Source organism: Homo sapiens, chromosome 14 (assembly GCF_000001405.40).
Source record: "Homo sapiens chromosome 14, GRCh38.p14 Primary Assembly".
Lineage (NCBI taxonomy): Eukaryota > Metazoa > Chordata > Mammalia > Primates > Hominidae > Homo > Homo sapiens.
Window position 1 is genome coordinate 49,061,805 of NC_000014.9, and position 23,227 is coordinate 49,085,031.

The 23,227-nt window shown below is 35.6% G+C and overlaps 1 long non-coding RNA gene across 3 annotated transcripts in view; it reads right to left on the bottom strand.

The window, feature by feature from the left end:
- Window positions 1-23,227, bottom strand: part of LOC105378178 (uncharacterized) — an 894,025-nt gene that overhangs the window by 667,806 nt on the left and 202,992 nt on the right. For all 3 annotated transcript variants that reach the window (XR_007064152.1, XR_943837.3, XR_007064153.1), the window contains exon 4: window positions 7,988-8,111. This is a non-coding gene — a long non-coding RNA (uncharacterized LOC105378178). The remainder of the gene's footprint in view (window positions 1-7,987; window positions 8,112-23,227) is intronic.

Here is a 23,227-nt window from a genome sequence, read left to right on the forward strand (position 1 = left end):
TTTTAAACTAATAGCCAGAGTAAGGCTCACAGACAAAATACTTGACCTGTGAAATATCTCTTGCTTACTTTTAATGACTATCCTCAACTCAGGAGTTTGTCATAATCACTCCTTCTTATTGATGTGATGGTAAATTAATCTTTGCACTCTGTCAGGAAAAAAAAATGAATGCACCTGAATACACCCTTAAAGTTATGTTCTGAAAATCAATTTTTCTTGATGAAAGATGGTAAATCAGCCTTTAATAATTTAGATTCTTCAGTGTGAAATTTTACTTTTGATAGAAGATATTTTAAAAAGCTATTTTATAGAAATAAATGAAACAACGTACAATAAAGCTTGACCCGGGTGCCATTATAAACACCCTTCACTTTATAAAGAGACACCAAAAATTCCCTTTTATGGATGGATAGATAAGCATTTAGGATTGTGGTGCAGGAAAGGAGTTGGGGAGAAGGAGAGGGAGAAGAAGAGGGAGTGAAAGAGTGAAAAAATAGAAGGATATGCATATTATTGAAATAAAAATTAACTTATTATTTCAGCTACTGAGAATAATCTTATGAAAGATTTCCTTTGATAAGCCAATCTTTAACTCCAAATAAATGTTTAGGATTCACAATCCCTGTGCTGATAATCCTTGATAAAATGGCAAGTGTTTCCCTCAGCAATATCGAAGTATGGTGATAAGAAACATGAGTTCTCCTCCAGCTGGCATCTGGTGGGTGCCCCTCTGGGATGAAGCTTCCAGAGGAAGGAACAAGCAGCAATCTTTGCTGTTCTGCAGCCTCTGCTGGTGATACCCAGGCAAACAGGGTCTGGAATAGATCCACAGCAAACTCCAGCAGACCTGTAGCAGAGGTGCCCGACTGTTAGAAGAAAAACTAACGAACAGAAAGAAATAGCATCAACATCAACAAAAAGGACGTCCACACAGAAACCCCGTCCAAAGGTCACCAACATCAAAAACCAAAGGAAGATAAATCCATAAAGATGAGGAAAAACCAGCATAAAAAGCCTGAAAATTCCAAAAACTGGAATACCTCTTCTCCTCCAAGGGATCACAACACAACACCTCACCAGCAAGGGAACAAAACTGGATGGAGAATTAGTTTAATGAATTCACAGAAGTACGTTTCAGAAGGTGGGTAATAACAAACTCCTCTGAGCTAAAGAAGCATTTTCTAACTCAATGCAAGGAAGCTAAGAACCTTGAAAAAAGGCTAGAGGAATTGCTAACTAGAATAACCAGTTTAGAGAATAACATAAATGACCTGATGGAGCTGAAAAACACAGCATGAGAACTTCGTGAAGCATACAAAAGTATCAATAGCTGAATCAATAAAGCAGAAGAAAGGATATCAGAGATTGAAGATCAACTTAATGAAATAAAGCATGAGAAAAGATTAGAGAAAAAATAATGAAAGGGAATGAACAAAGCCTCCAAGAAATATGGGACTATGTGAAAAGACCAAACCTACGTTTGATTTGTGTACCTGAAAGTGATGGGGAGAATGGAACCAAGTTGGAAAACACTCTTCAGGATATTATCCAGGAGAAATCCCCCAACCTAGTAAGACAGGCCAACATTCAAATTCAGGAAATACAGAGAACAGTACAAAGATACTCCTCGAGAAGAGCAACTCCAAGACACAAAATCATCTGATTCACCAAGGTTGAAATGAAGAAAAAAAATGTTAAGGGCAGCAAGAAAGAAAGGTTGGGTTACCCACAAAGGGAAGCCCATCAGACTAACAGCAAATCTCTCTGCAGAAACCCTATAAGCCAGAAGAGAGTGGGGGTAATATTCAACATTCCCAAAGAAAAGAATTTTCAACCCAGATTTTCATATCCAGCCAAACTAAGCTTCATAAGCGAAGGAGAAATAAAATCCTTTACAGACAAGCAAATGCTGAGAGATTTTGGCACCACCAGGCTTGCCTTATAAGAGCTCCTGAAGGAAACATTAAACATGCGAGGAAAAACCAGTACCAGCCTCTGCAAAAACATACCAAATTGTAAAGACCATTGGTGCCATGAAGATAATAATAATAATAAAAAAAAAGAAACTGCATCAACTAATGGGCAAAATAACCAGCTAGCATCATAATAACAGGATCAATATCACACATAACAATATTTACCTTAAATGAAAACAGGCTGAATGCCCAATTAAAAGACACAGACTGGCAAATTGGATAAAGGGTTAAGACCCACTGGTGTGCTATATTTAGGAGATCCATCTTGTGCAAAGACACACATAGGCTCAAAATAAAGGGATGGAGGAAGATTTACCAAGCAAATGGAAACAAAAAAAGCAGGGGTTGCAATCCTAGTCTCTGATAAAACAGACTTTAAACCAATGAAGATCAAAAAAGACAAAGAAGGGCATTACATAATGGTAAAGGGATCAATGCAACAAGAAGAGCTAACTATCCTAAATATATATGCACCCAATACAGCAGCACCCAGAATCATAAAGCGAGGTCTTAGAGACCTACAAAGAGACTTAGACCCCCACACAATAATAGTGGGAGACTTTAACACGCCACTGTCAATACTAGACAGATTAATGACACAGAAAATTAACAAGGACATTCAGGACTTAAACTCGGCTCTGGACCAAGCAGACCTAATAGACACCTACAGAACTCTCCACAGCAAATCAACAGAATATACATTATTTTCAGCACCACATTGCACTTAGCCTAAAATTGACCACATAATTGGAAGTAAAACACTCCTCAGCAAATGCAAAAGAACGGAAATCATAACAAACCGTCTCTCAGACCACAGTGCAATCAAATTAGAACTCAGCGTTAAGAAACTCACTCAAAACCACACAACTACATGGAAACTGAACAACCTGCTCCTGAATGACTACTGGGTAAATAACAAAATTAAGGCAAAATAAATAAGTTCTTTGACAGCAATGAGAACAAAGACATGATGTACCAGAATCTCTGCAACACAGCTAAAGCAGTGTTTAGAGGAAAATTTATAGCACTAAATGTCCACAGGAGAAAGCAGGAAGGATCTAAAATTGACAACCTAACTAACATCACAATTTAAAAAGCTAGAGAAGCAATAGCAAACAAATTCAAAAGCTAGAAGAAGACAAGAAATAACCAAGATCAGAGCAGAAATGAGGGAGACAGAGACATAAAAAACCCTTCAAAAAATCAATGAATCCAGGAGCTGGTTTTTTGAAAAGATTAACAAAATAGATGGACTGCTAGCAAGACTAATGAAGAAGAAAAGAGAGAAGAATCAAATAGACACAATAAAAAATGATAAAGGGGAGATCACCACTGATCCCACAGAAATACAAACTACCATCAGAGAATAATATAACACCTCTATGCAAATAAACCAGAAAATATTAAACAAATTGATAAATTCCTGGACACATACACTTTCCCAAGACTAAACCAGGAAGAAGTCAAATCCCTAAATAGACCAATAACAAGTTCTGAAATTGAGGCAGTAATTAATAGCTTATCAACGAAAAAAAAAAAAAAAAAAAGCCTAGGACCAGACGGATTCACAGCTGAATTCTAACAGAGGTAAAAAGAAGAGCTGGTACCATTCCCTCTGAAACTATTCCAAATGATAGAAAAAAAGGGACTCCTCCGTAACTCATTTATGAAGCCAGCATCATCCTAATACCAAAACCTGGCAGAGACAGAAGAAAAAAAGAAAATTTGAGGCCAATATCACTGATCAACATTGATGCAAAAATCCTCAATAAAATACTGGCAAACTGAATCCAGCAGCACATCAAAAGGTTTATCCACTGCTATCAAGCCAGCTGCATCCCTGGGATGCAAGGCTGATTCCACATACACAAATCAATAAACGTAATCCATCACATAAACAGAACCAATGACGAAAACCACATAATTATCTCAATAGATGCAGAAAAGACCTTTGATAAAATTCAACACCCCTTCATGCTAAAAACTCTCAATAAAATAGGTATTGATGGAATGTATCTCAAAATAATAAGAGCTATTTATAACAAACCCACAGCCAATATCATACTGAATGGGCAAAAACTGGAAGCATTCCCTTTGAACACTGGCACAAGACAAGGATCCCCTCTCTCACCACTCCTATTCAACATAGTATTGGAAGTTCCGGCCAGGGCAATCAGGCAAGAGAAAGAAATAAAGGATATTCAAATAGGAAAAGAGGAAGTCAAATTGTCTCTCTTTGCAGATGATATTATTTTATATTTAGAAAACTCCATCATCTCAGCCCCAAATCTCCTTGAGCTGATAAGCAACTTCAGCAAAGTCTCAGGATACAAAAGCAATGCGCAAAAATCACAAGCATTCCTGTACACCAATAATGGACAAACAGAGAGCCAAATCATGAGTGAACTCCCATTCACAATTGCCACAAAGAGAATAAATACCTACGAATCCAACTTACAAGGGATGTGAAGGACCTCTTCAAACAAATCACTGCTCAAGGAAATAAGAGAGGACACAAACAAATGGAAGAACACTCCATGCTCATGGATAGGAAGAATTAATATTGTGAAAATGGCCATACTGCCCAAAGTAATTTATAGATTCAGTGCTATCTCCATCAAGCTATTATTGACTTTCTTCACAGAATGAGAAAAAATACTTTAAATTTCATGTGGAACCAAAAAAGAGCCTGTGTAGCCAAGACAATCCTAAGCAAAAAGAACAAAGCTGGAGGGATCACACTACCTGACTTGAAACTATACTACCAGGCTACAGTAACCAAAACAGCATGGTACTGGTACCAAAATAGATATATAGACAAATGGAACAGAACAAAGTTCTCAAAAATAACACCACACATCTACAACCATCTGATTTTTGACAACCTGATAAAAAACAAGCAGTATGGAAAGGATTCCCTATTTAATCAATGATGTTGGGAAAACTGGCTAGCCATATGCAGAAAACTGAAACTATACACCTTCCTTACACCTTATACAAAATTAACTCAAGATGGATAAAAGACTTAAACGTAAGACCTAAAACCATAAAAACTCTAGAAGAAAACCTAGGCAATACCATTCAGGACATAGGCATGGGCAAGGCCTTCATGACTAAAACACCAAAAGCAATGGCAACAAAAGCCAAAATTGACAAATGGGAGCTAATTAAACTAAAGAGCTTCTGCACAGCAAAAGAAACTATCATCAGATTTAACAGGCAAACTACAGAATGGGAGAAAATTTTTGCAATCTATCTGGCTGACAAAAGGCTAATATCCAGAATCTACAAAGAACTTAAACAAATTTACATGAAAAAAGCAAACAATCCCATCAAAAAGTGGGTGAAGGATATGAACAGACACTTCTCAAAAGAAGACATTTATGCGGCCAACAAACATGTGAAAAAAGCTCATCATCACTAGTCATCAGAGAAATGCTAATCAAAGCCACAATGAGATACCATCTCATGCCAGTTAGAACGGCGATCATTAAAAAGTCAGGAAACAACAGATGCTGGCAATGATATGGAGAAATAGGAACACTTTCACACTGTTGGTGTGAAACCATTGTGGAAGACAGTGTGGTGATTCCTCAAGGAACCAGAAATACCATTTGACCCAGCAATCCCATTACTACATATATACCCAAGTGATTATAAATCATTCTACTATAAAGACACATGCACATGTATGTTTACTGCAGCACTATTCACAATAGCAAAGACTTGGAACCAACCCAAATGCCCATCAATGATAGACCGGATAAAGAAAATGTGGCACATATACACCATGGAATACTATGCAGCCATAAAAAAGAATGAGTTCATGTCCTTTGCAGGGGCATGGATGAAGCTGGAAACCATCGTTCTCAGCAAACTAACACAGGAACAGAAAACCAAACCCCACATATTCTCACTCATAAGTGGTAGTTGAGCAACGAGAACCCATGAACACAGGGAGGGGAACATCACACACTGGGGCCTGTTGGAGGGTGGGGGGCTAGGGGAGGGATAGCATTAGGAGAAATACCTAATGTAGATGACGGGTTGATGGGTGCAGCAAACCACCATGGCACGTGTATACCTATGTAACAAACCTGCACATTCTGCACATGTACCCCAGAACTTAAGTATAATAAAAATAAATAAATAAATAAGCATTATTAAATATAGCAAAATGTATTCATATTACCACAAATATGTACTTCAAATTTGCTATTGAATAAAATTAATGAGATTACTCAAAAAAAAAAAAAAGGAAACAAGCTCTCAAGTCACGAAACCTGGGTTCAAATTTTGGCAATTATGACTGCCCATTGACTTCATCTTTCTGTTCTTCAGTTTCCCTCTCTGTAAACTGGTAATAACAGTACCTGCTCATGGAGTTATACAATGTTTAACTCAGTAAGTGCCTAACAGTGTTATTATTTATGTTACATTTATTTACAGACTAAAGAGGCCACTAAAAATAGCGGTGATTTCTAGAACATGTTAGGTAGAAAGTTGATGAAAATAATAGCTAATAACTGCTATTTATAAGGTCTTAAACTTTAGACAGCGTTCTAAAAGCTTTCTATGAAGTAATTTATTTAATCCTTTTAACAGTGCTATGATGTAGGTGCTATTATTTTTCCCACTTTTATACAGAAGGAAGTGAGACTCAGAAAAGCAATGAGAATTGCTCACAGTCGCTTATTTAGAATGCAGCAGAACTGGCAGTCAAGACGGGGACTGGATTGACTAGAAACGGAGATTCAAACAATCTGCTTTTACATAAGCCTTATTCTCAATGAAATACAAGAGAAAAATCTTTTGAAATTTTTTTCAACATTTGTCTTGATTATCCTGATCTTTTCGTTAAAATAAACTCATGTTTGCAACTATATTCCAAATATTAACGAGATTTTGTATACATAAAAATATTCCTTCAAAATGTATTAATTAATAAGAGGTGGTAAACCAGTGATCAATCATAACCATGCCTGTTTTCAATGCTGAAAACATTTTTATCATCTGAGATTAATGCAATGTCAGTTCACTTCTTATTGAAAATGTCAATTCACTTTGTTATACCTATCGATTTTAAAGAAACTTAAAACCAATTTTACTTAATTTTGTTGTAGAATATAATTAAATTTCAAGTGGGTATAAAAATTAAACAAGGGATTATTGAAACATGAGTTATAACATATACCTGGAGTCAAATGCAAGTCATCTTTTATACAGCTATTTTTCATTATTCAAACTTTTCATATACATTCTATCAATCTTCCTCCAAAATATACCAATTCCTATTCTAAGATATTAGGCATAGTCTTAAAATATTATTTTTTAAAGTTCAAAAACTAATTTTGCGCCATGCTTCTCTTTATTACAACTATGATTTATTGAACATGTATTAGATGCCAATACTGATAAATAACATTTCACTTATTCAACATAACAGATCTATTTAACACAGGAAAAACTGAGGCTTGAGAGAGCTAAATACTACACCCAAGGTCACCCAACACTTTATCATAGGACTTACAACTGTTTCTCCACTAGCCATATCAAACCTATAGCTTCCTCAGCTATGACATTCATCTACCTCACCTGAGAGCTTGTAGACACATAAAAACAGAGCCATCTTTCTGAATATTCAGTGAAATATTATGGAATATTAGAAACATGGTTTGCATCATGTTCAAGACTAACGGTTCACAAACTAGTGCACATGAAAATCATTTCCAAACCTTGTTTAAAATGGAGATTCCTAAGTACCATTACTACAAACCCAAGATTCTAATCTGGTTTGGAGTATTTGGAACAAGCACCTCAGGTGATTCTGACAAAACTAATTATCAGATCATACCTTAAAAAGCAGTATTCTAGCTGGCAGAGCAAGATGGCAGAATAGAAGCCTATACCATTTGCCCTTTACCCCAACTGGAACACCAAATTTTAATGGTTATCTGCACACGGAAAAGTGCCATCACAAGAACTAAAAATCTGACAAGCAATCACCATACCTGGTTTTAACTTCATATTGCTGAAAGAGGCATTGAAGAGGGTAGGAGAGACAATCTTCAATTGCTAGCATCACCCCTCCAGCATTCCCTGGCAGTGGCCTTGCATTGCGAGGAGTCTGTGCACCTGGGGAGGGGAAAACACAGTGACTGTGGGACTTTACATCGAACTCAGTGTTGCCCTATCACAGTAGAGAGTAAAGCTCTTCTGGGCTCAGCCAATGTCTGAACAAGGAACATTTGGACCAGACCTAGCCAGAGAGGAATTGCCTATCTCAGTGGTCGGAATCTGAGTTTCTGAGCAAGCCTCACCACTGCAGACCAAAATACTCTGGGGTCCTGGGTAAACTTGAAAGAGAATCTAGGACACAAGGACTGCAACTCCTAGTACTAAGCTGAACTCAGAGCCAGTGGACTAGGGTGGCAAGTCACCTAGGGAGACACCAGTCATGGCAGCAAAGGTAATGCTTGAGCCACCCCTTCCCCATCCCTAGGCAGTGCAGCTCACAGCAACAAAAGTGACTTCTTCCTTCTGCTTCCTTAAGCAAGAAGAGGAGAGATAAGAGTAAAGAGGACTTTGTCTTGGGTCTTGGATACCAGCTGAGCCACAGCAGGATAGGGCATCAGGCAGAGTTGCAAGGACCCCATTCCAGACCCTAGCTCACAGATGACATTTCTAAACTTACCCAGGACCAAAAGGGAACCTACTGCCTTGAAGGGAAGAAAGCACTCCTGACAGGATTCATCACCTGCTGACTAAAGAACCCTTGGGCCCTGAATAACCAGCAGCAATACCCAGGCCTTGGGTTACATGCTGAATACAGATGTAACCCAGCACATTCCCAACTGTGGCGGCTATGGTGAAAGATCCTCTCTGTTTGAGAAACACAGATGGTAAAGTAAAGGGGACTTTGTCTTGTACCTTAGGTACGAGCTTGGCCACAGTTGGGTAGAGCAACAAGTGGGTTCTTAGGGTCCCCAGGTCCAGGCCTAGGCTCTTGGAAAGCATTTCTAGACCTGACCTGGGCCAAAAGGGAGCCCATTTCCCTGAAGAGTGAGTCCTAAGCCATGCAGCATTCACTACCTCTTCAGATGACCGAAGAGCTTTTCGGCTTTAAGTGAACATTGGTGGTGGCCTGGCAAAACCTGCTGTGGGTTGGTGGTGGTAGTGGCCACAGGGAGAGGCTTCTCTACCTATGGAAAAAGGAAGGACTTTGTGTTGTGGTTCGAGTGCCAGCTTAGCCGCACTGGAATACAACATCAGGTAAATTTCTAAGGATTTTTACTCCTATCTGTAGCTCCCAGGCAGCATCTCTGGGCCCACCCCCAACCCAGGGCCTGAGGAAAGTTTCCACCCTAAAGGGAAGGGCACAAACGTGGTGGGCTTCACCACCTGCTGATCAAGAGCCCTAGGTCCTTCAGTGAACATAGGAAGTAGCCTGGTAGTGGTTACACTGGGCCCTGGGTGAGAGCCAGAGCTGTGGTGGCTTGTGTTCTGACCCAGCGTAGTCCCAGTGCTTATGGCCACAGGGGTCCTTGCATCACTATACCCCCAGTACCAGGTAACTCAGCACAGATAGAGACTGTTGTTTGCTTGGGAGAAAGTAAGGGAAAATAACAAGAGTCTCTGCCTGCTAATCCAGAGAATTCTACCAGATCTTATCCAAAACCAGCAAGGCAATACCTGTACAAGTCTGCAAAATCCACAGTATTATTGGGCTTGGGGCCCAAGTCCCTTCAAATACTTGGAAAGCCTTCTCAAGAAAGATGGGCACAAACAAGCCCAGACTGCAAAGATTACAATAAATACCTAATTCTTCAATGCCCAAACACTGATGGACATCTACCAGCATCAATATCATCAGGAAAACATGACCTCACCAAATGAACTGAATAAGGCACCAGAAAACAATTCTGGAGAAAGAGAAACATGTGACCTTTCAGACAGAGAATTCAAAATAGCTGTTTTGAGGAAACAAGGAAATTCATGGTAACACAAAGAAGGCATGCAGAATTCTCGCAGATAAATTTAACAAAGAGATTGAAATAATTAAAAAGAGTCAAGCAGAAATTCTAGAGTGGAAAAATGCAATTGACATACTGAAGAATGCATTAGAGTCTCTTAATAGCAGAATTGATCAAGCAGAAGAAAGAATCAGTGAGCTTGAAAACAGGCTATTTGAAAATACACAGTCAGAGAGGACAAAAGAAAAAAAGAACAAAATACAATGGAGTGCATTTTTAAGATCTAGAAAATAGCCTCAAAAGGCAAATCTAAGAGTTATAGGCCTAAAAGAGGAGATAGAGAAAGAGATAAAGGTAGAAAGTTTATTCAAAGAGACAATATCAGAGAACTTCCCAAACCTAGAGAAATATATCAACATTTAAGTACAAGAAGGTTATAGAACCCCAAGCAGATTTAACCCAAACACTACCTCAAGGTATTTAATAATCAAACTCCCAAAGGTCAAGAATAAAGAAAGGATCCTAAAAGAAGCAAGGGAAAATAAACAAATAACATACAATGGAGATTCAATACATCTGGCAGCAGACTTTTCAGTGGAAACCTTACAGACCAGGAGAGAGTAACATGACATATTTAAAGTGCTGAAGGAAAAAGTTTTTACCCTAGAATAGTATATCTGGGAAAAATATCCTTCCAACATGAAGGAGAAATAAAGACCCTCCCAGATAAATAAAAGCTGAGGGATTTCATCAGCTCCAAACCTGTCCTACAAGAAATGCTAAAGGGAGTTCTTCAATCTGAAAGAGAAGGATATCAATGAGCAAGAAAAAAATCATCTTAAAGTACAAAACACGCTGGTAATAGTAAGTACACAGAAAAACACAGAATAATATAAACCAGAATGGGGGTTCTTTCTTGTTTTAAGTAGAAAGAATAAATAATGAACCCACCAAAAACAATAACTACTACAGCTTTTCAAGACACAGATAGTATAATAAGACATAAAGAGAAACACTAAGAAGTTAAAAAGTGAGGGATGAAGAGTTGTTAATAGTTTTTATGTGTTTGTTTATACAATCAGTGTTATGTTATCATCAGCTTAAAATAATGGGTAATAAGATACTATTTGCAAGCCTCATGGTAACTTTAAATAGAAAATCATACCACAGATACACAGAAAATAAAAAAGCAAGAAATGAAAGCATACCACCAAGAGAAAATCACCTTCACTTAAAGGAAGACATGAAGAAAGAAAAGAAAGATAAGAATACCACAAAACAACCAGAAAACAAATAACAAAATGACAGGAGTTAAGTCCCTACTTACCAATAATAACATTGAATGTAAATGGACTAAACTTTCCAATCAGAAGACATAGAGTGGATGAATGAATGGGAAAAAAAATTAAACCCAGTGATCCACTGCCTACAAGAAACACACCTCACCTATAAAGATACCCATAGATTCAAAACAAAGGAAACTAAAAAAGAGCAGGGGTAGCAATACTTATATAAGACAAATGGATTTCAAGACAAAAACTGTAAGAAGAGACAAAAAAGGTCATTATATAATGATAAAGGGGTCAATTCAGCAAGAGGATATAACAATTGTAAATATATGCACCCAACACTGGAGCACCCAGATATATAAAGCAAATATTATTACAGCTAAGGAGAGTTAGATCTCAATACAATAATAACTGGAGACTTACATTCACTTTCAGCACTGGACAGATCTCCCAGACAGAAAATCAACAAAGAAACATTGAACTTAATCTGCTCTATAGAACAAATGGACCTAACAGATATTTACAGAACATTTCATCCAATAACTACAGAATACACATTCTTCACCTCAGCACAGGAATAATTGTAAAGGATAGACCATATGTTAGGTCACAAAACAAGTTTTAAAACATTCAAAAAAATTGAAATAATATCAAGCATCTTCTCTGACCACAATGGAATAAAACTAGAAATTAACAACAATAGGGATTTTGGAAACTATACAAACACATGGAAGTTAAACAATATGCTCTCAAATGACCAGTGGGTCAATGAGGAAATTGAAAAGAAAATTTAAAAATTTCTTGAAACAAATGATAATGGAAACACAACATTCCAAAACCTATGATATACAGCAAAAGCAGTACTAACAGGGAAGTTTATAGCTATGAGTGCCGACATCAAAAAAGAAAAAAAAAACTTAAAATAAATAACTTAATGATGCATCTTAAAGAACTAGAAAAGCAAGCACAAACTGAAACCAAAATTAGAAGAAAAGAAATAATAAAGATAGGAGCATAAGTAAAGAATTTGAAATGTAGAAAACAATACAAAAGATCAATGAAACAAATAGTTGGTTGTCTTAAAATATAAACAAAATTGACAAACCTTTAGCCAGATTAATGAATAAAAAAAGAGAAGACCCAAATAAATAAAATCAGAGATGAAAAGGGAGACATTGCAACTGATACCACAGAAATCCAAAGGGTCATTAGTGACAATTATGAGCAACTATATGCTAATAAATTGGAAAATCTAAAGGAAATGAATGAATTCCTAGACACATACAACCTACAAAGATTGAACCATGAAGAAATCCAAAACCTAAACAGACCAATGACAAGTAATAAGATTGAAGCCATAATAAACAGTCCCTCTGCAAAGTAAAGCCCAGACTCAATGGCTTCCCTGCTAAATTCTATCAAACATTTAAAGAAGAACTAATACCAATCCTACTCAAACTATTCCAAAAAAATAGAGGAGGGAATACTTCCAAACTCATTTTACAAGGCCAGTATTACCATGATGCATAACCAAAGACACATCACCAAAAAAGCAAAAGAAAAGAAGGAAAACTACAGGACAAAAATCTTCAACATAATACTAGCAAACCAAATTCAACAATGCATTAAAAAGATCATTCATCCTGTAGGTTGACTGTTCACTCTGATGATAGTTTCTTTTGCTGTGCGGAAGCTCTTTAGTTTAATTAGGTCCTATTTGTCAATTTTGGCTTTTGTTGCCATTGCTTTCGGTGTTTTAGTCATGAAGTCTTTGTCCATGCCTATGTCCTGAATGGTATTACCTAGGTTTTCTTCTAGGGTTTTTATGGTTTTAGGTCTTACATTTAAGTCTTTAATCCATCTTGAGTTAATTTCTGTAAAAGGTGTAAGGAAGGGGTCCACTTTCAGTTTTCTGCATATGGCTAGGCAGTTTTCCCAACACTATTGATTAAATAGGGAATCCTTTCCCCAGTAGTTGTTTTTATCAGGTTTGTCGAAGACCAGATGGTTGTAGATGTGTGAAGTTATTTCTGAGGCCTCTGTTCTGTTCCATTGGTCTATATATCTGTCTTGGCACAAGTACCATGCTGTTTAGGTTACTGTAGCCTTGTAGTATAGTTTGAAGTCAGATAACATGATGCTTCCAGCTTTGTTCTTTTTACTTAGGATTGTCTGGGTTATACGGGCTGCTTTTTTGGTTCCATATGAAATTTAAAGTAGTTTCTTCTAATTCTGTGAAGATATTCAATGGTAGCTTGATGGGGATAGCATTGAATCTGTAAATTACTTTGGGCAGTATAGCCATTTTCACAATATTGATTCTTCCTATCCATGAGCGTGGAATGTTTTTTCATTTGTTTCTGTCCTCTCTTATTTCATTGAGCAGTGGTTTGTAGTTCTACTTGAAGAGGTCCTTCATATCCCTTGAATTGTATACCTATGTAACAAACCTGCACATTCTGCACATATATCCCAGAACTTAAAGTATAATAAAAAAAGAAAGAAAGATTTTAAAATATATCTGACATTTCTAGAATTCATGCAAATATAAGCCTGTTTGGAATTAAAAAATCCCAAGTGGGGTTTATCCCTAGGATATAAGGATAGTTCAAGAGACTGGGATAGGTAGTGGGGTCTTGGGGGTGGAGGCAGGTAGAGATGGTTAATGTGTACAAAACACATAGAAAGAATGAATAAGACCTAGAATTTGTGAGAAAAACAGGGTGACTATAGTCAATAATAATTTAATTGTACATTTTAAAATGACTAGAAGAGTACAATTGGATTGTTTGCAATGCAAAAGAAAACCACTTGAGGGGATGGATACCCTACTTTTTGTGACGTGATTATCACCACATTGTATGCCTGTATCATAATATCTCATGTACCCTATAACTATATACACCTACTATGTATCCATAAAAATTAAATATTAAAGCAAAACCCAGCATTCTGGATTCCAAATAAAAATACCAATCATAAAGTCAGAGTAACTGAGATTTTGCATTTTTTACTCACCTCCTCTGTTTCAAACACATCGTAGTGATTAATGAAATATAATGATTTTAAAATAGCCAAGCTCAAAAACAATATACACATATCTGTGGGACAGAAATTGAATCTCTGTGGGGCAAAGCCCTGAGCACAAAATGAAGCAGAGGCTCACTTGCTCCCAATTCAGAGACAGGCGTTAGTGACTGGGAGCTAACTACCATAAAAAATGAAAACAGTATTACCAGATGAATTAAACTCTGACACATAAATCATTAATAGGAGCACAAATAAGCAGTACAATAAGAGGAAAACTTCATTAATAACAGACAATAATCATGAACATACATGTACCTAATAGCCTAGCCTCAATATATCACAAGAAAAACCTGAAAGAATTATACAGTCATCTCCCATTATCTGTGGAGGATATAATCCAAGACCCTCGGTGGATGCCTGAAACCCCAGATAGTATCGAACCCTATAAATACTGTTTTTTCCTATAAGTACATACTTACAATAAAGTTTAATTTATAAATTAGGCACAGTAAGACATCAACAATAACTAATAATAAAATAGAACAATTGTAACAATATGCTGTAATAAAAGTTATGTCAATGTGGACTCTCTCTCAAAATACCTTATTATATTATATTTACCTATTTTTTGACCATGGCTGACCACCAGTAACTGAAAGTGTCTATTAGAGGGAAACACTGTATGCAGAAACAGAAAGATCCACAATTATATTGAGAGATTTTAACATATCTATCAGAAACCAATGAATGAAATATAAAAAAAAACCTAGAGAAGATTTGACCAAAAAATTAAAGTTTTATTTAGTAGATATAAAATTTTACAGAGAACAAATAGAAACCATACATTCTTTCACATATGAAAAATATAAAACATTTATAAAAGTTAACCATGAAATAAACTACAATGGCAGACTCAAAAAATTTTCAAACAATTATCAGCATGCATATCTTATTCTCTGACATATAATTAGGAAGCAAAAAATTAAAACATATATTTATAAACTTTCAAATACATGAAATGTACACTGAATTTAAAGAGAAAATGGTAATAAAATTATGAAACATTTAGAAGTGAATAATAATGACAGTGTTATATATCACTAATGGTATATGGCTAAAGGGATATCTAGAGGAAATTCTATAGCCTTAAATGCAATTACAGAAAAATGAAAGATTTTTTAAAATAAGTTATTTTAAATCTAATGAGCTATATAAGAAATAACAGACCAAAGCTAAGAATAAAAAACTGAGAAAAAGGAATAACGGAGAATAACAGAAATTAATGAAATAGAAAAGGCAACAACAGAGAGCAAAAAATCAAAAGCTGATTCTTTGAAAAGATATTCTAACAAAAAAGGGTTTATAAAAAGGGAGAAAGCTGACCTCTGCACCAAAAAACTGCTCCTTTTGTGGAAGCTGGGCCTACAAAAGAAAAAGAGAGAGAGAGAGAGAGAGAGAGCAAGAAGGAAGGGACGGGAGAAAGAGAGAGAGAAATGCCCAAGTAAAAATATGGCAATGAAAAGGGGACATAATTAGAAATACAGTTTGGATTTGAAAAGCACAAGTGAAATCTATGAAGAAATTTATGCCAGTAAATTTGAACATGTATATAAACTAGATCCTTTTCTAGAATGTTTACTCAAGAGAAATTAGAAAACAAAGATATGGATGACTATTAAGGAACATAAACAGTCAGTGGAAAGACTAACAGACAATAAGACAGATAGTTCTACAAGTGTTCTAAATCTGAAAGAAATAAATAACTTTTTATTATGCAAACTGTTTCAGATAACAGATAAAGAAGAAAGGCTAACTCAGCATGCTTTATGCAAGTAGCGTAGTTTAACCAAATCAGAGCAGGGAAATAAAAGCAAAAGAAAATTTTAGACCAATTATATGTATTATGATCATAGAAAAAATTCTAAATATATTAGCAAACCAAATTTAGCAGATTATCATTTTAAATGCATCACAAAAAATAGAGTTTATCTCAGGAATTCGAAAGTGAGTCATAATCACCAAAGCTAGTAACCTAACACACAATATTAATGGATTATCAGAGAAAATAGTAGCATCTCACTGGATGCAGAAGTCCACTTACTAATATTCATCTGCTATTCATGAAAATATTCTTAACAAACAAGGAATTGAAGGAAACTTCAGTAACTTGATACAGGACACTGAAGAAACATATAGCAAACACTGTGCTTAATAAATAATATTTTAGAAATGTTCTTATTAAAACAGCGTCAATACAAGCATATTCTTTATCATTTCTTATCAACAAAAATGAGAAACTATAATTGGAAAGTCATTAACAAAACTAACTCTATCTGAAGACAATATTATTATCTACATAGAAAATTCAAGAGAAACTATGGACGTCATATTAGAACTGTTCATATAGTTTAGCAAAGTTTTTGAATACAAGATGAAATCATCAAAACTATTAGCCTTCCCATATGCCAGTAACAATAAAATAGAAAGTATAATAGAAAAATACATCTTGTTCACTATAGCAGCAAAATATATAAGGTATCTAAAAATGACTTTAACAAAAGATGTAGAAGATCTTTATAAGAAGATATAAGGCAACATATAAGGGCACAAAAGAAGATGAAAATGGGAAGATATACTAACTATACAGATGAGAAGACTCAACACTATTAACATGTCTATTCATTCCAAATTTATCTATATATTCAATAGACTATCATTGCCCTACAACCTAAGACTTATTAGAAGCAAAGAGGAAAAAGGCAGTATAGTATTCTTGCAAGGATAGACACACAGACAAATAACACAGAAGAGAAACTTCAGAAACAGACTCGCATGTAACACCAGATACATGACAGAGGAGGAAATCCAAATGAGGAGAGAAATGAACAGTGCAGGGGAAATTGATTCTCCTTAAGGAAACGTCACATACAACTATGTTTCAAAAACAATAAGATAAAATAAAACTAGTTTGTAAGAAATTATAAAAATAATTTTCATGAGAATTAAGGGCCTAAATGTAGGGGGAAAGAAAACCCTTAATAATGCCTTTTGAAGGCTATATAAGAATATATTCTTATGGCTTTGAGAAAGGAAAGAATTTCTTAAAAATCAGTGATAAAAAATGACAAATAATCAAGAAAACAAATTTAAAATTTCATAAATATCTTTATCTCTTTAAAATTCAAAATCATAAAAATATCCATTTTTCTATTGTAAATGGGATTGTGTTCTTAATTTGCCTCTCAGCTTGAATGATATTGATGTATTGAAATGCTACTGATTTTTGTACAATGATTTTGTATACTGAAACTTTTTTGCCCTTCCAATATTTACTGTAGATTCAAGTGATACATGTGGAGGTTTGTTACATAGCAAATTGTTTGTTGTGGGTGTTTGGCATACAGATAATTTTGTCACCCACATAATCAGCATAATGCCCAACGGGTAGTTTTTCAACTATCACCCTCCTCCCAACCTCTACCCTCAAATAGGCCCCAGTGTCTTTTGTTCCCTTCCTTTTGTCCATGTGTACTCGATATTTAGCTCCCACTTATAAGTGAGAACAACATGCAGTATTTGGTTTTCTGTTCCTGTGTTAATTCACTTAAATAATGACGTCCAACTCCATCCACGTGGCTGCAAAGGCCATGATCTCATTTTCTATAGCTATGTAGTATTCCATGATGTATATGCACCACATTTTCTTTATCCACATACTGAAACCTAACTGAAGTCATTTACCAGGTCTAGGAGAGTTTTAGTAGCACCTTTAGGGTTTTCTAGGTATGGAATCATATCATTACTGAAGAAAGATGGTTTGATTTATTTTCCTATTTGGATGCCTTTTATTTCTTTCTCTTGGCTGATTGTTCTGACTAGCATTCTAGTATGATGTCGTACAGGAGTAGTGACAGTGGGCATCCCTGTCTTTTTCCAGTTCTCCAGGGGAATGCTTCCAGCTTTTGCCCATTCAGTATGATGCTGTGGGTTTGTCGTAGATGGCTCTTATTATTTTGAGGTATGATCCTTCCATGCCTAGTGTGTTGAGAGTTTTTATCATGAAGGAACATTGGACTTTATCAAAAGCTCCCTCTGAATCTATTAAGATGATCACATAGATTTTCTTTTTAGTTCTGTTTATGTGGTGAATCACATTCATTAATTTGTGTATGTTGAGCCAACCTTGCATCCCAGGGACAAAGCCCTCTTGATCATGGTGAATTAATTTTTTGATATGCTGCTGGATTCAGTTTACTACTATTTGCTTGAGGATTTTTGTGCTTATGTTCATCAGGGATATTGGCCTGTAGTATTCATTTTTCACTGTGTTTTTGACAGGTTTGGGTATCAGGGTCATGCTGGCTTTGTAGAAAGAATTAGGAAGGAGTCCTTCCTTGGTTTTTTGGGAATCATTTCAGTAGAATTGGTACCAGCTCTTCTCTGTATATGTGATAGAATTCTGTTGTAAATCCACTGGGTCCAGGGCTTTTTTTGGCTGGTAGGTTTTTGATGAGTTATTCTATTTTAGAACCTTATATTGGTCTATTCAAGGTTTCAATTTATTCCTGATTGAATATTGGGAGGTTGTGTGTTAATAAATTATCCATTTCCTCTAGATTTTATAGTTTGTGTACATAGAAGTGTTCATAGCAGTCTCTGAGAATATTTTTTATTTCTGTGGGATCAGTTGTAATGTCACCTTTGTAACTTCTGATTGTGCTTATTTGACATGATCATTCTCTCTCTCTCTTTCTCTCTCTCAGTTTTTTGTTTGGCTAGCATCTATCAATCTTGTTTATCCTTTCAAAGAATCAATTCTTGGTTTCATTTATGCTTTCTATGGATTTTTGGGTCTCAATTTTGTTCAGTTCTGCTCTGATTATAGTTATTTCTTTTCTTCTGCTAGCTTTGGGGTTAGTTTGTTCTTGTTTTTCTAGTTCCTCTAAATGTAATGTTAGACTGCTAATTTGAGATATTTCTAACTTCTTCATGTAGGCATTTAGAGCCATAAACTTTCCTTTTAACACTGCTTTTGCTGTATCCTGAGATTTTCATATGTTATGTTTTTGTTTTCATTTACTTCAAATATTTTTTTTTATTTCTGCCTTATTTTTGTTGTTTACCCAAAAGTCATTCAGGATTAAGTTGTTTTATTTTCACATAGTTGTGTAGTTTTAAGAGGTCTTCTTGGTATTTATTTTTATTTTTATTCTACTGTGGTACAAAAGTATAAGTGATATGATTTTTATTTTTTAGAATCTACTGAAATGTACTTTTATGGAAGAGCATGTGGTTGATGTTAGAGTATATTCCACGTGCAGATGAGAAAAAAATACATATTCTGCAGTTGATGGTTGGAGCAGTCTATAAATGTATATTAGGTTCCTTGGTCAAATGTCTAATTGAAGCCCAGAATTTCTTTGTTAGTGTTCTGCCTCAGTGATCTAATGCTGTTAGTAGAGTGTTGCAGTCCCATACCATAATTGCTTAGCTATCGTCTTGTATATGTAGAAGTACTTGCTTTATGAATCTGGGTGCTCTAATATTAGGTGTGTATATCTACAGATTCAATGCTATTCCTATGAAACTACCAACATGATTTTTCACATAACTAGAAAAAAACTATTCTGAAGGTTATATGAAACCAAAAAAGAGTCCGAATAGTCAAGCAATCCTATGTAAAAAGAACAAAGCCAGAATCATCACATTACTGACTTCAAACTATGCTATAGGGCTACAATAACCAAAACAGCATCGTACTGACACAAAAATAGACACGCAGACCAATGGAACAGAATATAGAACTCAGAAATAAAGCCACACACCTACAACCATCTGGTCTTTGACAAAGTTGACAAAAATAAGAAATGATGAAAGGACTCCCTATTTAGTAAACGGTGCTTGGATAACTGGCTAATTACAGGCAGAAGAATGAACCTGGACCCCTACATTCACCATGTACAAAAATTAACTCAGGATGGATTAAAGATTTAAATGTAAGACCTCAAATTATAAAAATTCTAGAAGAAAACCTGGGAAACACCATTCTGAACACTGGCCTAAGGAAAGAATTTATGACTACATGCGCAAAAGAAACTGCAACAAAAACAAAAATTGAACAAGTGGGACCTAATTAAACTAAAGAGCTGTGGCACAACAAAAGACACAGTCAACAGAGTAAACAGGCAACCCACAAAATGGAGAAAATACTTTCAAACTATGTGCCTCACAAAGGTCTAATACCCAGAATCTATAAGGAACTTAAACAACTCAACAATCAAAAAACAAACAACCCCATTAAAAAGCAGGCAAAGGACATGAACAGACACTTCTCAAAAGAAGACATATAAACATACGAAAAAGTGCTCATGTCACTAAACATCAGAGAAATGTAAATCAAAACCACAATAAGATACCATTTTACATCAGTCAAAATGGCTATTATTAAAAGAACAGAAAAATAACAGATGCTAGCAAGGCTACAGAGAAAAGTAAATGCTATTACAATGTGCATAGAAATGTAAAGTAATTCGGCCACTTTGGAAAGCAGTTTGGAGATTTCTCAAAGAAATAAAAACAGAACTTCCATTCAACCCAGTAATCTCATTACTGGATAAATACCCAAAGGCATATAAATATTTTACAAAAAAGACATATGCACTTGTATGTTCACTGCAGCACTATTCACAAAAGATATGAAATCGAACTAAGTGCCCATCAATGGTGGATTGTGTAAAGAAAATGTGGTATACACAGACTATGGAATACTACGCATCCATAAAAAAGAATGAAATCATGTTCTTTGCAGCAACATGGATACAGCTGGAGGCCATCATCCTAAGCAAATTAACACAGGAACAGAAAACCAAACGCCACATATTCTCTCCTAGAAGTAGGAGATGAATATTAGGTACGTAAACTTGGGAAAAAATAGACACTGGGGACTACTGGGGTGAGAGAGCAGGAGATAGGCAAGGGCTGAAAAACTACCTGTTGGGTACTATGCTGACTACTGAGGGATAGGATCATTTATACCCCAAACCTCAGTGTCACACAAGATATCCATATAACAAACCTGCACATATATCCCTTAAATCTGAAAGTTGAAATTATAAATCACAAAACAAAAAACTTGATTATTAGCATACTTTAAACTCCAGACATTTTCCCCATTTTCTGCTACAATACCAGGTCCTCCCTCTCAGCTAGGTCTTTCCCATCAAATAAACCAGCTCTTATTTCTCCCATCTTAAAAATATTTTAAACATCTATTTTTTCTATTTTCTTTTATGGCAAAATTCCTCAAAAGAGTTATTTATTATTGATGACCCAAATTTCTCTTGTATTATTGTACTATTTATCTAATCTGTTGAAACAAATCACCCTGAACCACTCCACAAAAACCACTCTTGTAAAAGCCACCAATAATCTCCAAATTGTTCAATTGAATGGTCAATTCTCTACCCCAATTTAACAGAGTTTGATGATCACTCTCTCCTCTTTGAAACATTGTTTTTATGTGGCTTCCAAACAATATATTCCCATGGTTTTCCTTCTTGCTTACCACTTATTTCTTCCTGCTCTTTTTGTTGATCCTTCTATATCTCCTTGCCCTTTTAATGTTGGAGTGTTTCAGGGCTCAGTCATTGTCCTTTTTTCTCTTTTCCATGTTCACTGATCCAGATTCATGATTTTAAATACCATAGATATACTATCATTCTCAAATGCATATTTCATTTGAGCTTCAGAGTTACATATACAACTGCCTACTTGACACCTTTATATGGCTAACTAAAGGCATCTCAAATTTAGCATATGCAAACTAAACTCTTGATCTCCCAACAATCTGATCTTCCCAGCATCTTCCCTACCTCTCCACTTCATTTTTCCCATTTGCTCAAGCCAAAATGCTAGTCTCCTCTTTCTGTCATAGTCCACATCAAATTCCTCAGAAAATCTTATTAGTACATTTTCAATATATAGCTGAAATTTGGCCACTACTCTCTCCTCTATCGTACCATCTGGATCTAAGCCCTCATCATTCCCACCTACACTATTGAATAACCTCCTAATTTATATTCTTGCTTCTACCTTTGTCTCATCTATCCTTAAATAAGCAGCCAGAGTAATCTTGTTCAAAGACAGGATGATTTTGTTACTTCTTTGCTCAAAACACCACAATAACATTTCATCTCACTCAAAGGAGAAAAAAAAGAAACACATAATGACAATCGCCTAAAAAGTAAGTTTCAATTTCACCTGTAATTGTTTTCTTAAATGCTCATAATACTGTTATTTGAGATGTTTCACTACAGTAAATAAGACAAGGCCCCTATTCCTTCTCTGACTTCTTCTGTTATCATTTGTTTCTCATTTGCTCCTCTCCAATCACAATGGCTCTCCTGATACTCCTTGACCCTACCAAGAATGCAGTCTCCTTATGACTTTCATGCTTACTGTTCTCTTTACCTGAAATGCTTTTCCCCCAGAGAGCCACACAACTTACCCTCTTGCCTCCTCCAGGTACATATATGAATATATTACCTTCTCAGGAAGGCCTTACCTATTAGCTTCTTAAAAAGTTATAACACTTCCCTCCCTCTAGCATGCTCTAGCCTTCTTTCATGCTTCATTTTTCTCTGTAACACATATCACTATCTAATACACCCTTTCGTTATTTCTATTTTATTTTCTATTGTCTCCCCTCCCACTGGAATGTAACCTCCAGAACGGGAGGGATTTTTGTCTGTCTTCTTACTGCTGTATCTCCAATACCTACTGCAGTGTATAGCACATTTCATATTCAATAAATATTTGTTGAATGAATGAATGCACAGGTAAATAGCACAATTCTAACAGCAAAAAAATTGAAAATGATTTAAATGTCCTTTAACAGAAAAATGGATAAACTCAATGTAATCTAATAACACAATCTCAGAAATATATTGTTGGGGGTAGA